The sequence below is a fragment of the Homo sapiens genome, chromosome 3 (genome assembly GCF_000001405.40).
Source record: "Homo sapiens chromosome 3, GRCh38.p14 Primary Assembly".
NCBI classification, from domain to species: domain Eukaryota; kingdom Metazoa; phylum Chordata; class Mammalia; order Primates; family Hominidae; genus Homo; species Homo sapiens.
The window spans coordinates 167,249,137-167,266,006 of record NC_000003.12 but is presented as its reverse complement, the minus strand read 5'-3'; the positions used below and the strand labels follow the sequence as shown (position 1 = coordinate 167,266,006).

The 16,870-nt window shown below is 39.5% G+C and overlaps 1 protein-coding gene across 20 annotated transcripts in view; it reads left to right on the top strand.

Moving 5' to 3' along the window:
- The window catches only part of ZBBX (zinc finger B-box domain containing), a 229,485-nt gene that overhangs the window by 141,880 nt on the left and 70,735 nt on the right, over nucleotides 1–16,870 (top strand). For 2 of the 20 annotated variants that reach the window (XR_924173.2, XM_047448955.1), the window contains exon 22: nucleotides 13,796–13,881. The exons of the other annotated variants lie outside the window; for them this stretch is intronic. Coding sequence is in view for 1 of the 2 variants with exons in the window: in XM_047448955.1 (XP_047304911.1) it covers nucleotides 13,796–13,860 (65 nt within the window). In the remaining variant the exon portion in view is untranslated. The remainder of the gene's footprint in view (nucleotides 1–13,795; nucleotides 13,882–16,870) is intronic. 20 annotated transcript variants of the gene reach the window in all.

Here is a 16,870-nt window from a genome sequence, read left to right as displayed (position 1 = left end):
AAGAGAGACATACTGAATTACCAATGCCACCCTTCCCCCACCTCCTGGCAGCAACCCTGGAGTGTGGAGAGAGAATCTGTGCTCTCTGGGGAGGGAGAGCACATCAACTAGAGGACTTCACATTCAACTCAGTGCTACCTGGTCACAGCAGAGAATAAAGCTGTGCTGGGCTCAGCCAGTGCCCATGCATGGAGGAAGCATTTGGACCAGCCACATTCCAGAGGGGAATCATCCATTCCAGCGGTCAGAACTTGACTTCCTTGGGAAGCCATGCCACATTGAGCTGAAGTGCCTGGGGGTCATAGGTAAACTTGAAAGGCAATCTAGGACACAAGGACTACAATTTGTAGGCAGCAGCTAGTGCTAGGCTGGGCTTAGAGTCAGTGAACAAGCATGGCACATGACCTAGAGAGACACCACCTGGCACAGCTAAGGGAGAGCTTGCACCATCCCTCCCCCAACCCCAGGCTATGCAGCTCATAGCAACAAAAGTGACTCCTTCCTTCTGCATAATGAAAGAGAGTGAAGAGTAAGGAGGGCTTTGTCTTGCTTCTTGGCTACCAGCTCAGCCACAGTAGGAGAGGGCACTGAACAGAGTTGTGAGCCCCCCATTTCAGGTCCTAGCTCCTAGATGATATTTCTTGACACAACCTGAGCCAAAAGTGAATCTGCTGCCTTGAAGGGACGAGAACCCAGTCCTGGCAGGATTCATCACCTGCTAACTGAAGAGCCCTCAGACCCTGAATAATCTCCAGTGATACCAAGGGAGTACACCACAGGCCTTGGACTCTAAGATGTGCTGGCTTCAGGGGAGACCCAGCACATTCTCAGCTGTGGCAACTACAATGAAAATGATGAAAAATTGCATTTTGCAAAGCAGAGGGAAAAGTAAAGGGGACTTTGTCTTGTACCCTGGCTACCAGCTTGGCCACAGTGGAATAGAGCAACAAGCAGGTTCGTGGGGACCTGAAGTCCAGACCTAGATTCTTGAACAGTATTTCTAGACTTGGCCTGGCATGGGCCAGATGGGAGCCCAGTATCCTGAAGGGTGAGTCCCAGGCCTGACAGCATTCATCATAAGCCGATGGAAGAGCCCGTGGGCTTTAGGCAAACATTGGTGGTGGCCGAGTAGAAATCCCCATGGACTAGGGGTGGTCAAGGCCACAGAGACCTCTGCCTATAGAAAGGGAAGAGAAGAGTGGGAAGGACTTTGTCTTGTGGTCTGAGTGCCAACTTAGCTGCAGTAGAATAGAACCTCAGGTAAACTGCTGAGATTGTTGACTGTGAAAGTATAAAGCTCACTGGTATAAACACAGAAAAAAGCACAGAATAGTATAACACTGTAATGGTGGTGTGTAAACTTTTCCTGACTTAAGTAGAAAGACTAAATGATGAATCAACCAAAAATAGTAACTATAACAACTTTTCAAGACACAGACAGTACAGTAAGACATAAAGAGAAACAACAAAAAGTTAAAAAGCAGGTTCATAGTTTAAAGTATAGAGTTTTTATTAGTTTTCATGTTGTGCATTTCTTTGTTTATGTAATCAGTGTTAAGTTGCCATCAGTTTAAAATGATGGGTTATAACATATTACTTGCAAGTCTCATGGGAACATCAAATTGAAAAACATACAAAAGATATAAAAAAATAAAAAGCGTAAATTAAAGCATACCAGCAGAGAAAATCACCTTCACTAAAAGGAAGAGAGGAAGGAAGGAAAGACAGAAGAGAAGACTACAAAACAACCAGAAAACAAATAATGAAATGGCAGGAGTAAGTCCTTATCAATAACAACATTGAATGTAAATGAACTAAACTCTCCAATTAAAAGACAGAATGGCTGAATGGATGGAAAAATAAAGCCCAATGATGTGTTGCCTATAAGAAACTTACTTTACCTGAAAGATACACATGAACTGAAAATAAAGGAATGGAAAAAAGATATTCTATGACAATGGAAACCAAAAAAGAGCAGGAGTAGCTATACTTTATCAGACACAATAGATTTCAAGACAAAAACTGTAAGAAGAAGGTCATTATATAATGATAAAGGGGTCAATTCAGCAAGAGGGTATAATGGTGACAAATATATACATACCAACACTGGAGTACCCAGATATATAACGCAAATATTATTAGAACTAAAGAGAGAGATAGACCTCAATACAATAATAGCTGGAGACTTCAACACTCCACTTTCTGCATTGGGCAGATCTTGAAGACAGAAAATCAATGAAGAAACACTAGACTTAATATGCACTATAGAACAACTGGACCTAATAGATATTTACAGAACATTTCATCCAACAGCTGCAGAATACATATTCTTCTCCTCTGCACATGGATTATTCTCAAAGATAGACCATGTGTTAGGTAACAAAACAAGTCATAAAATATCCAAAAATTGGAAATAATGTCAAGAATATTCTCTGACCACAGTGAAATAAAACTATAAATCAGTAACAAGAGAAATTTTGGAAAACACATGTAAATTAAACAGTATGCTCCCAAATGACCAGTGTATCAATGTATAAATTAAGAAGGAAATGGAAAAATTTCTTGAAACAAATGATAATGTAAATACCATATACCAAAACCTATAGGATACAATGAAAGCAGTAGGAGAGAAATTGTAGCAATATGTGCCTACATGAAATAAAAACAAAAACAAAATAACTTCAAATAAATAAAACCTGTATCTTAAAGAACCAGAGGACAGGCACCATAGCTCATGCCTGTAATCCCAGCACTTTGGGAGGCTGAGGCAGGTGAAACCCCGTCTCTACTAAAAGTACAAAAATTAGTTGGGCGCAGTGGTGCGTGCCTGTAATCCCAGGTACTTGGGAGGCTGAGGCAGGAGAATTGCTTGAGCCAGGAGGTGAAGGTTGCAGTGAGCTGAGATTACATCACTGCACTCAAGCCTGGGCAACAGAACTAGACTCCATCTCAAAAAAAAAAAAAAAAAAAAGAACTAGAAAAGCAAGCACAAACCAAACCTCAAATTAGTGGAAGAAAAGAAATACTAATGATCAGAACAGAAATAAATGAATTTGAATGGAAGAAAACAACACAAAAGATCAATGAAACAAAAAGTTGGTTTCTTGAAAAGATAAAGAAAATTGACAAACCTTTAACCAGATTAAGGAAAAATGAGAGAAGAGCCAAATAGATAAAATCAGTGATGAAAAAGAAGACATTACAACTGATACTTCAGAAATTCAGAGGATCATTAGTGGCTACTATGGCAATTATATAACAATAAACTGGAAAATCTAGAAGAAATGGATAAATGCCTAGGCATATACAACCTGCCAAGATTGAACCACGAAGAAGTCCAAAACCTGAACATACCAATAACAATGAGATTGAAGCCATAATAAAAATGTCTCCTAGGGAGAGGTTGCAGTGAGCTGAAACTGTACCTTTCCACTCCAGCCTGGGCAACAAGAGTGAAACCCCATCTCAAAACAAACAAACAAACCAAAAATGTCTCCCAATATAAAGAAGCCCAGAACCTGATGGTTTCACTGATGAATTCTACTAAACATTTAAAGAAGAACTTATACCAATCCTATTGAAAGTGTTCCAACAAAAACGGTTAGAGAATGCGGGAGATTATGGCAGACTGGAGGCAGGACTAGATTGCAGCTCCAGAAAGAGCAACAGGCAGTGGCTGGCTCGCATTGTGAATTTTAGTTCCAGATGGACTGCAAGAGCAAACCAGAAATCCTGAGAGGACCCACAGACCCTCTGAAGAAAGCAGACTGCTCCTGCAGGACCTGGGAGACGCCCCCCCCGACCCACAAAAACTGAGTGCCCCAACTGTTGAAGTGGGAAAGAGAGACCCCCTCTTCCAAACATACATCCCCACTGGAGAAGCTGAAAGCTGAAGTTCTGTTTGCGTGAGAAGTTTCCGACTTTACCTGGAGCTGAGTTAATTTGGAGAGCCGAGCAAAATACAGGGGTAGAGGAAGAAGCAGAAAGGCCCTGGGAGCTTGTTGGGTCACCTACCAGGCCATTCCTGCCTGCACCACAGGGATCCAAAAGAGCAAGGGGTAAAACTACACAGTGATAAGCAAATCTCTAGCTGAACTTTGTAACCATTTGATTGGGGTGGGAAGCCTTCTGTCCAGAATTTGGGGGAGGGTGCAAATCTGGTGTGCAGACTCCACAGGTAGGGGAAGAACCAAGCCCCCGCCCCCACTTTTTTTTTTTTTTTTTTTTTTTTGCAGTTGGGAGGCGGGTAGCCTGGGACAAGTTTTCAAACCCATATAGCTCCACACCTGGAAATGATCTGGGTGTGAGGGCTGTTGGGTGGTGGGGCATGGTGGGAGTGAGACAGGCCCTTCAGTTTGTGTGGGAGCTGGATGAGGCTTGTGACTGCTGGCTTTCTCCCACTTCCCTGACAACCTGCATGACTCAGCAGAGGCAGCCATAATCCTTCTAGGTACACAACTCCAGTGAACTCAGACCCTCACTCCCATTCCCCACAGCAGCTGCAGCAAGACCTGCCCAAGGACAGTCTGAGCTCAGACACGCCTAGCCCCACCCCCACCTGATGGTCCTTTCCTACCCACCCTAGTAGTGGAAGACAAATGGCATATAATCTTGGGTGTTCTAGGGCCCCGACCACCGCCAGTTCCTCCCCCATACTACCACACCTGATGATCTCTGGAAAGCACCACCTCCTGGCAGGAGGCCAACCAGTACAAAAATAGAGCATTAAACCACCAAAGCTAAGAACCTCACAGAGTCCATTGCACCCCTCCGCCACCTCCACTGGAACAGGTGCTGGTATCCATGGCTGAGAGACCCATAGATGGTTCACATCATAGGATGCTGGGCAGGCAACACCCAGTACCAGTCCAGAGCCAGGTAGACTCTCTGGGTGGCTAGACCCGGAAGAGAGACAACAATCACTGCAGTTCAGCTCAGAGGAATCCACATCCATAGGAATAGGGGGAGAGTACTACATCAAGGGAACACCCTGTGGGACAAAAGAATCTGAACAACAGGCTTTAGCCCTAGACCTTCCCTCTGACAGAGCCTACCCAAATGAGAAGGAACCAGAAAACCTTCCCTGGTAATATGAGAAAACAAGGCTCTTCAACACCCCCCAGAAAACACACATGCTCACCAGCAATTGATCCAAGCCAAGAAGAAATCCCTGATTTACCTGAAAAAGAATTCAGGGGATCAGTTATTAAGCTAATCAGGGAGGAACCAGAGAAATGCGAAGCCTAATGCAAGGAAATTCAAAATATGATACAAGAAGTGAAGGGAGAAATATTCAAGGAGGTAGATAGCTTAAAGACAAAACAATAAAAAACTCAGAAAACTTTGGACACACTTTTAGAAATGCAAAATCCTCTGGAAAATCTCAGCAATAGAGTTGAACAAGTAGAAGAAATTTGAAGCTCAAAGACAAGGTCTTTAAATTAACCCAATCCAACAAAGACAAAGCAAAAAGAATAAGAAAATATGAACAAAGCCTCCAAGAAGTCTGAGATTATGTTAAACAACTAAACCTAAGAATAATTGGTGTTCTGAGGAAGAAGAGAATTCTAAGAGCTTGAAAAATGTGTTTGGGGAATAATCGAGGAAAACTTCCCGGCCTTCCTAGAGACCTAGACATCCAAATACAAGAAGCAGAAAGAACACCTGGGAAATTCACTGCAAAAAGATCTTCACCTAGGTACATTTCCATGAGGTTATCCAAAGTTGAGACAAAGGGAAGAATCTTAAGAGCTGTAAGACAGAAGCACCAGGTAACCTATAAAGGAAAACCTATCAGATTAACAGCAGATTTCTCAGCAGAAACCCTATAAGCTAGAAGGGATTGGGGCCCTATCTTCAGCCTTCTCAAACAAAACAATTACCAGACAAGAATTTTGTATCCAGTGAAACTAAGCATCATATATGAAGGAAAGATACAATCTTTTTCAGACAAACAAATGCTGAGAGAATTCACCATTACCAAGCCACCACTATAAGAACTGCTAAAAAGAGCTCTAAATCTTGAAACAAACCCTAGAAACACATCAAAACAGAACCTGTTTAAAGCTTAATTCACACAGGACTTATAAAACAAAAATACAAGTTAAAAAGCAAAATAGGCCATAAAATGAGCCTCAATAAATTTTTTAAAAATTGAAATTATATCAAGCACTCTCTGACCACAGTGGAATAAAACTGGAAATCAACTCCAAAAGCAATCTTCAAAACCATACAAATACATGAAAATTAAATAACTGCTCCTGAGTGAGCACTGGATTAAAAATGAAATCAAGGTAGAAATTTAAAAATTCTTCAAACTGAATGACAATAATGACACAACGTATCAAAACCTCTGGGGTAAGGCAAAGGTGGTGCTAAGAGGAAAGTTCATAGCCCTGAACGCCTATATCAAAAAGACTGAAAGAGCACAAACTGACATTCTAAGGTCACACCTCAAGGAACTAAGGAAACAGGAACAAACCAAACCCAAACCCAGCAGAAGAAAGGAAATAACCAAGATCAGAGCAGAACGAAATGAAATTGAAACAAATGAACAAAATACAAAAGATAAATGAAACAAACAGGTGGTTCTTCGAAAAGATAAATAAAATTGATAGACCATTAACAACATTAACCAAGAAAAGAAGAGAGAAAATCCAAATAACCTCACTAAGAAATGAAACAGGAGATATTACAACTGACACCACTGAAATACAAAAGATCATTCAAGGCTGCTAAGAACAGCTTTACCCGCATAAACTAGAAAACCTAGAATACATGGATAAATTCCTGGAAAAATATAACCCTCTTAGCTTAAATCAGGAAGAATTAGATACCCTGAACAGATCAATAACAAGCAGTGAGATTGAAATGGTAATTTAAAAATTATCAAAAAAAAGGGTCCATGACCAGACGGATTCACAGCAGAATTCTACCAGACATTTGAAGAAGAATTGGTACCAATCCTTTTGCCACTCTTCCACAAGATAGAGAAAGAAGCAACCCTCTCTAGTTCATTCTATGAAGCCAGCATCACCCTAATACCAAAACCAGGAAAGGACATAACCAAAAAAGAAAACTACAGACTGATATCCTTGATGAACATAGATGCTAAAATCCTCAACAAAATACTAGCTAATCAAATCCAACAATATATCAAAAAGATAATCCACCTTGATCAAATAGATTTTATACCAGGGATGGAGGGATGGTTTGCCATAATCAAGTCAATAAATGTGATGCACCACATACACAGAATTAAAACAAAAATCACCTGATCATTTCAATAGATGCAGAAAAAGCATTCAACAAAATCCAGCATCCCTTTATGATTAAAACTCTCGGCAAAATCAGCAAACAAGGGACATACCTTAATGTAAAAAAGCCATCTGGGGAAAAGTTGAAAGCATTTCCTCTGAGAAGTGGAACAAGACCAGGATGTCTACTCTTACCACTCTTCTTCAACATAGTACTGAAGTCCTAGCCAGAGTAATAAGACAACAGAAAGAAACAAAGGGCATCCAAATCAGTAAAGACGAAGGCAAACTATCACTGTCACCCTTTTAAACAAATGGTGCTGGGATAATTGGCTAGCCACATGTTGGAGAATAAAACTAGATCCTCATTTCTCACCTTATACAAAAATCAAATCAAAATGGATTAAGAACTTAAATCTAGGATGGGAAACTATAAAAACCCTAGAAGATTGATACCCAGTAGTGGGATTTCTGGATCAAATGGTAGTTCTACTTTTGGTTCTTAAAGGAATCTTCACACTGTTTTCCATAGTGGCTGTACTAGTTTACATTCCCACCAGCAGTGTAGAAGTGTTCCCTGTTCAACGCATCCATGCCAACATCTACTGTTTTATGATTATAGCCATAATCAAAACTCACTGGGGATATTGGAAAAACCCTTCTAGACATTGGCTTAGGCAAGCATTTCATGACCAAGAACCCAAAAGCAAATGCAATAAAAACAAAGATAAATAGCTGAGACCGAATTAAACTAAAGAGTTTTTGCTCAGCAGAAGGAACAGTCAGAAGAGCAAACAGATATCCCACAGACTGGGAGAAAATCTTCACAATCTATACATGTGACAAAGGACTAATACCCAGAATGTACAATGAACTCAAACAAATCAGTAAAAAAAGAAAAAAATCCCTTCAAAAAGTGTGCTAAGGACATGAATAGACAATGCTCAAAAGAAGATACACAAATGGCCAACAAACACATGAAAAAATGCTCAATATCGCTAATGATCAGGTAAATGCAAATCAAAACCACAATGTGATACCACCTCCTGAAAGAATGGCCATAATCAATGTGATACATCATATCAACAGAATAAAGGACAATAACCATATGATCATTTCAATTGATGCTGAAAAACCATTTGATAAAGTTAACGTCCCTCCATGATGAAAACCTTTAAAAAACTGGGTATAGAAGGTCTTAACATAATAAAAGCCATCTATGATAGACCCACAGCTAGTATTAAACTGAATAGGGAGAACCTAAAAGTTTGCCCTCTTAAACCTGAAACATAACTATGCTGTTAATCAGCATAGTACTGTATGTTTTAGAGCAATTAAAAAAGATAAAGAAGTAAAGGGCATCCAAATCGGAAAGGAAGAAATTAAATAATCCTTGTTTGTGGATAAATGATGTTAAATTTAGAAAAACCTGAAGACCACCAAAATACTATTAGAACTGATAAACATATTCAGTAAGTTGCAGGATACAAAATCAACATACAAAAATCACTAGCATTACTATATGCCAACAGTGAACAATCTGAAAAAGAAATAAAAAACTAATTCCATTTGTAATAGCCACAAATAAAATTTTTATACAAAAGACAGGCAATAAAGCCTGCTGGCAAGCATGTGGAGAAAAGGGAACCCTTGTACACTGTTGGTGGGAACATAAGTTAGTTCAAACACTATGGAGAACAGTTTGGAGGTTCCTTAAAAAGTTAAAAATAGAGCTACAATACGACCCATTAATCCCACTGCTGGGTGTATACCCAAAAGAAAGGAAATCAGTATATTGAAGAGATATCTGCATTCTTATGTTTGTTGCAGTACTGTTTACAATAGCTAAGATTCAGAAGCAACCTAAGGGTCCATCAACAGATGAATGGAAAATAAAATGTGATACATATACACAATGGAGTACCATTCAGCCATAAAAGAGAATGAGATCCAGTCATTTGCAGCAACTTGGATGGAGCTGGAGATCATTACATTAAGTTAAATAAGCTAGGCACAGAAAGACAATTATAGCACGTTCTTGCTTATTTGTGGGATCTAAAAATCAAAACAATTGAACTCATTGAGATAGAAAATAGAAGGATAATTACCAGAGGCTTGAAAGGGTAGTGGGGTGGGGTGGGGTGGGGTGGGGTGGAGGTGGGATGGTTAATGGGTCCAAAAAATAGTTAGAAATAATACATAAGACCTGCTATTTGATAGCACAACAGGGTTACTATAGTCAATAATAACTTTAATTGTACATTTTAAAATAACTTAAAGAATGTTATTGGATTATTTGTAACTCAAATAATAAGTGCTTGAAGGGATGGATACTCCATTCTCCATGATGTGCTTATTTCACATTGCATGTCTATATCAAAACATTTCATGTACCCCATAAATATATACACCTACTATGTGCCCACAACAATTTAAAAAGTAAAAAAAGAAACCCATATATCCAAGAGATATCTGCCCTCTTATGTTTGTTACAGCACTGTTCACAATGGCCAAGATTTGGATGTAACCTAAGTATTCATTAACAGATGAATGGATAAAGAAAATGTGGTACATATACATAATGAAGTATTATTCAATCATAAAAGAGGATAAGATTCTGTCATTTGTGACAACATGGATGGCACTGGAGATTGTTTTGTCAAGTGAAATAAGCCAGGCACAGCAAGACGAACTTTGCATGTTATCACTTATTTGTGGGATCTAAACATCAAAACAATTAAACTCATGGAGATAGAAAATAGAAGAATGCTTACCAGAGGCTAGGAAGTATAGTGGGGAGTGTGGGTGGAGTGGTGGGAATGGTTAATGGGTACTGAAAATAGAAAGAATGAATAAGACTTAGTGTCAGATAGAACAACCCAGAGACTATAGTCAATTATAATTTAATTGTACATTTAAAAATAACTAGAGAATATAATTGGATTGTTTGAAACACAAAAGCGTAATGCCTGGGGAGATGTGTTCCAAATTTTTCATGATTTAGTTATCACACATTGCATGCCTGTATCAAAATATCTCATGTACCCCATAAATATATATACCTACTTTGTACTCACAAAAATTAAAAATAAATTTAAAAATTGAGAGAAAAGGTAAAAATAAAGAGTAATGGAGGCCATTTCTAACTATATGCTTTAGTTTCAGATAGTAATAATTCCCTATAATAAAAGATGAGGGCTCATTTGTTTATTTTTTAAAACCACATGCTAATCTAGATCATACTGAATACATCCCTTGTTGTAGTTATAGTTTCTTGTTTTGTAAAGTTTTCCTTTTATTTTTTTCTTAGTGAAAATCAATATGGATTAAATGTTTAGTACCAGCATTTTCTTCTATGACTTCCCAATCCTGAGCCTTTTATCTTGATTTCATCTCTTGATGGTTTTATTATAGCATTCATGATAATGTCTGTTTTTTGTCTTATTGCCGAATGGCACATTAGATGTATTTAGTAGGTCACAGTTTCCTTTCCTCTGTATGTAGCAGACATTTTCCTGTTGTCGTCTGACCCTGAATATGGTGCTAGTTAGCCCTTTATCACAGCTTTTTTCATTAAACTTTTGTTTGGTTCAGTTTAATTATCATATAATTTTTCCCTGCAGGTAGAATTTATAGAAGTTTTATTACCTGAGTTTTCTTTATATTTGAGAATACCTGCTACATTTCTATTTAGATGGCAAATTGGCCGAGGATAATATCATTTGGTCACCTTTGTCTTAAACCTTGTATATAATGATTTGCCATTTTCTGGCTCCGAATGCTGTGAAGTAATCTGAAGCCTCCTAGATTCTCTGTCTCTCTCTCTCCCTTTCTCTCTCTCTCTCTCATTCTCTCTCTCTCTCACACACACACACACATGTGACAGGCTTCTTTCCTGACTGAATGCTTGGAGAAATTTTTCTTAATCCTTGAAAGTCAGTAACTGGTCCAGGATTTTGTTTTAGTGTCAATAATTCAGCATTTTTTTTAAACACAGGGTTCTCTCTCTGTCTGTAGAGTACATTACCCGTTATTTTCAAAGAAATTTTCTGTTTTTATATCTTTGAATTGCTTTTCTGTTCCATTAGGCTTTCTCCTGCTGAGAAACCTATTTTCTTTATGTTGGCGTCTCTTTAAAAAAGTATTACTTATATTTCTTCAATTGTTTTAGCTAGTTTTTAATTTCCCTTTGTATTTGCTATCATTATCTCAAGCTTGTCTATATGTCAGGATTTTAATTTTTACCTAGTTATAGTGTACTCTTTATCACTTGACTTTTAAAAAAGTCATTCTCTAAAGATGTTGTAACTTTTTCTTTGACATTTTTTGGTAGTTTTCTATTTTGATATAAGTTAAAACAGAAAATTTGCAAAATACAAGTATAGTACAAAGAACTCTTCCCCCACATACACTGTACCCGGTTCACTAGCTATGTTTTGTCCTATTTGCATACACACACGTGTGCACACACATGCACATACACACCCTCCTTTTGTACCTCCTTTTGTTCTGAACAGTGAGAGGAAGTTAAAAACATTGTAACACTTTACAAAAAAATATGTCAGTGTGTGTGTCCCAGAAAAACTGCTTTCTCTTATATAACCATAGCACAATGATCAAAATCAGGAAGCTCACATTACAAGATACAATGTGATTTTCTAATCCACATGGCATATTTAGTTTTTTAAAACTACCCCATTGATGTTTGTTACAGCTTGTTTTTTTCTGGTATAGGATCCAATCCAGGAGCAGGTGACCATTTAATTAGTTTTCCTTTGATGCCTGTCATGTTGTTGCTCCATCTTTGAGGTTAATTTTGCTCTTTTCAAAAAGTTTGCTTTCATTACTTCTTTTGTAGCCAAAGGACTTGTGGAAAATCTTATGGTCCTGATCTATGTTTTCTACCAAATTTTATGTTTTTTATTTTTTTCACCCGTTACATGCTAAAGATACTAGTTTGTTTATATATCTAGTTGTGTCATTTCTTTGGATTTCACTTGCCTATGCTTATTGTGAGTGGCTTTGTTCCTACCTTCCATCTTTTCTGATATAGTGAAACTAAATTCTTCCTGAAATTCTCTTCACTCTTACTGAGCTCTCTCAGTCTTTTCTGGGGAGCTACTGTTTGCGGGTTCTGTATTGTACTCTTCTGTATCCTGCTAGCTCCAAGGCATGGGGAGGAGGATAGGACTGGGGAGCTCAGCTTTCTCTGTTGAAAGATCTGGGCTTTCTTGTCTTTTTCTGGATTTTATTAAATGCCAGATTTCTATTGACCTGTTTTCCTGTGTGCTGTCTCTGTGGGGAAACCTTCAGATTTGCAATTTTCTTGTCTCTGTTAAGATTTTTCAGATAGATGATTAGCCAGCTTTAATAAGGATTTCAGATGTCTCCTCCTTACTTCTTTTCACCTACTTTTCTCCCTATTGACGTGGTATTGGTGAGACTAGCCTGTTCTTTTTATGACTGTCTCTTTCCTATTCTTCATTTGGTGTCTGTGTGTTGGGCACACACTGTGTATTGGAATAACACCCAGCCACACCTCAATAAATTTTATTTGGTTGACTCTTCTCAAAGTTATTATGTCAATTGTATCCCTTTGTTTAGCTCCTTTTATGATTTTATTTTTATTATTCTGCTTTTTCTATTTATTTAATAGGGGTTAGAGGAAAAAGTCAATAATCCATATTTACCCATCATTCATTTACCTTGCTTGAATTATTAAAAATCAAACATAAATCTTCCTAGAGATAATTGTTACATTACAGGCCAATTCTGAAATAAAGTATGTGAAGTCTGAACTGGATCTAAAAGGACAAACATACAGTTTTTAATTTTAAAAAGAGCTTTGTAATTTTAAAAATTGATACATTTTATTATTTACAAATTGAATGCAATAGTGTACAAACGCTAGTCTTTTTTTCAGCCATTCCAGCTTTTCCATTTTTAAAAATTATCTTTGTTCCTATGTGCTTCAGTTTTTTCCTGTGTCACTTATTTTCTCATACACTAACATCAGTATTTTCACTAGAACACATAACTTTTTATATACAAAAGCAAGCACACACTTGGTAGCCTGTGAACTGCCAGGGCTTTGCTGATGTCCAACAGCAGAAGGCAACCACTTTCACACTTAACGCAGACATGGATTTTTTTTTTTTTTTCTGTTGGGAAGATTGGCTTTGTATGAGTGCACTGTTCATGAATACGGTCACTCTGAGAAAGGAAGAAGATGACATATCAGGCTAATCAACCCAACAGTCAGTGAGGTGACAAGTGCTACAGTGACATAAGGCTTCATTGTAGAAAAGTCACTGACTCTGCACAAGGCCTTTTTACCCTGTTTTGCGTCAATGAGCAGAACAATTCCATTCACCTTTCACTACTCAGGGTGCAGTCTGGAAAAACTTCATGAGGTTTGCTCTCAGACATACACCTCCACACCACTGGATGCTTATATAAATGTAAATATGTTCAAATCTCTGTGAAAGCTGCATTATTGTGTACAGCAACCTCTCTGACTTGTTTTCTGCTATTTCTAGGATGCATCCACTTCTTCTTTCTAAGTTCTATGAAAAACAACCATGTTAAGGAGCTGGGAGAATAAGACAGAAAATAACTACATTAGGTAAACAGTTTCTCCTTTGATTCAAATTGCTGTGGCTGATATCAGACTGCCATTCTAGAAGTACCTGAGAAGGGCAGAGGTGTTTAAGGAAACAGTTTCTCCTTGGATTCTGATTGCTGTGGCTGATATCAGAGTGCCATTCTAGAAGTACCTAGCATGGACAGATGTGTGTGTGTGTGTGTGTGTGTGTGTGTGTGTGTTGCAGGCACAACATCATGATGAATCGAGAGACAAGAGACAGAAAGCAGATTGGTTGATAACCAGGTTCCCCTGTCAGGGCGTGTGGTTTGAAACGAAACCACCACTTACTAGCTTCATAATATTGGGCAAATTACTTCCCTAATCTGTCATTGCATCAGATTCCATATTGAAAGATGAGCATAATAATAGAACCTATCTAATAAAATTATTTGATCATTAATTAAAATTATATATATGAGATATTATATTTATGAAAACTTATCTCTCTCTCCACACACACAATTAACAGTGCCTAGCACATAGTAAGTCCTCAAAAAACTGTTAAGTTATATAAGAAACCAATAGGTAGTGCTTTTGATACCGGAAAGGATCCCCCGTCCCCCTCACAGGGCGTGCGATGGGGGTGTGGCTCACTTCTTCAGTACCCCACTGCTCAAACCTCTAGGGAGCATACAGACAGGCTGACTGTGGGGCTCCAACTCCACGAGAGTGTCTAGGGGTGAATGTTTACAGATGCTAAGGCCCCAGTGGGTGTGTGTTACAGGATGCCGTTTTAGTTTGCCATCTATAGGTGGCTTGTGTTAACCAGCTCAGTTAGACCCTCTACCTTGTCACAAGGATGGAGGGCTTTCTGTATCCCAGGTTCTTGCCTTGGGGTACCAGAAGAATCGGATCACACGTGGTCTTGGAGAATGAGTGCAAAGTTTTATTGAGTAGAAGTAGCTCACCACCACTGGGGGAGCCAGAAGGGAGATGGTATTTCCCTGGAGTTGGGCCACTCAGCAGCCCCAGCTCTCCTCCAACTGCTCTGGCCAAACTCCACCCCATCCTGCTGGTCAGTGGCCTGCTGGTCAGTGGTCTGCTGGTGTGCTGGTTTCTGTCGGTGTGCTCTTCTGCCAGTGTGCTGCCTCAACGTCCTCTCGCTATCCAGCTACTTGTGTCTTTTTCCGCTGATGTACTGCTCTTGACATCTGGCTACCTGTGTGTTTTTCCACTCGGGTCTCGGGTTTTTATAGGCCCAGAATGAGAGCATGGTGGGCCAGAGTGGTCTTGGAAAATGCAACATTTGGGCATGAAAGCAGGAGTGCCTGTTGTCACCTAGGTCCAAGGGAGTGGAGCCCTAGCCAGGGACCTGCCTTTCTCTACTCAGCACTTCCTCGACCCCTCCGGTATCATTCTCCCCTCTGAAGATGTACATCTAACTACCTTTAGAATATGGACTGTGACCTGTCTTTGCTGCTTCCTGCTGACAGGGGGCATTGTTCTGGGGTAAATGGCAGTCAGACTCCTAGCGGTCTAAGGGTTCCTAGACAAGGGGAGCCATCTTTCGAGGCTCCGGTTGACCATTTGGATTTTGATGGCTTCTAGGCTTGAGAGTAAAAAAAAAAAAAAGTTTTATAAGGTTAAGTATGCATGGGTGAAACATGTGTATTATACAAGGAAAGAATTTAGTGCCAGAGATTACAGAGATAAGAAGTGAAATATACTAACAGCAACATTCTACCCTGAGCTGTTTCACCCTGGTGAAAGAAATTAAACGTTTTATGGGAGCAGTTAAACTTTGGAAGAGAAATAACTGTTCTTGCCGTATCTTTTAGCAGTTAGCAGGCACATCCTGGGAATTTTGGGGTTTGTGGGCTTACATGGTGGTCATCAAAGCTTTTGTCTGTTTCCTGCATCTCCTCTCGCTTTTTTAGGCCTCCTGTCTCTATTATAAAAGACCAAGTTGGCCACTTTCAGGAGGTCCTCTAATGTACTATCTGGTCCCAGGGCCCATTTTTGCAACTTCCTCCTGATGTCAGGAGCTACCTGGGTAATACATTTATCTTTTAGGATTAGCTGTTCTCGACTGAATCAGGAGATAGAGGTGTGCTTTGTCAAGGCCGCTCTTAGCCTTTCCAGGAAGGCAGTGGGATTTTCATCAAATCCTTAGTCGATCATGGACAACTTAATATAATTGAGAGGCTTAGTCTTAGTCCTACGTAAGCCCTCCATTATGCACACCTGAAAGTGTCTTCTTTTCCAGTCTTCCATCTCGTCACTGGGATCCCATTTAGGATTATTTACTGGTATTGCTTCTCTTCCAGTTGGATAATATTCATCCCCTTCTCTGACGCTATATATGAAAGAAAGCTTATCCCCAAATCTCTCCGCTGCTGACAGAGCAGCCTGCTTCTGAGTGTCCATTGGGGTTTGATTCAAAAGTAACATAACGTCTCTCCAGGAGAGTTCAAATATTTGGGTATAATTCTGGAAAGCCTCTATTTATCTATCAGGGTCATCTGAAAACTTGCCAAGATCCCCCTTAATTTGCTTTAAGTCCTATACGGAGAAGGGGACCTGGACCTTACTAGGCCCAAATTTACTGGGCATTTGTTGGAGGGTTAAGAGTGAGACTGGAGTTTGTCTAGAGCAAAGATTTTTAGGAGGAGGCAGGTGGGAAGCTGAAGCTGTATAGGGTGGTCTGGGTGGACCCCGAGTAACAGGGTCAGAGGTAGCTGGATCCTCTGCTGGGGTTGCCCCTGGGACTCATATTTTTAGTTGCTTGAGCTTGCCCCTTGCAACCTTCCCTGAGATGCCAAACAGGAGGGCAATCCTACTCTGTCAGCAAAGGTCTGGATTGCCTTGCAAGCTATAGAAAGCCTACACTTATGGGGCCTCAGGCCATCTGTCCTCACGTCTATAGAAAAGTTCCAAATGCCAGATGGTATAGAAATGAATGGTTCCTTCCTGAGGCCAAGCCACTCTTTCCTGTAAATCATAATTTGGCCAAACCTTTTTGCAGAGG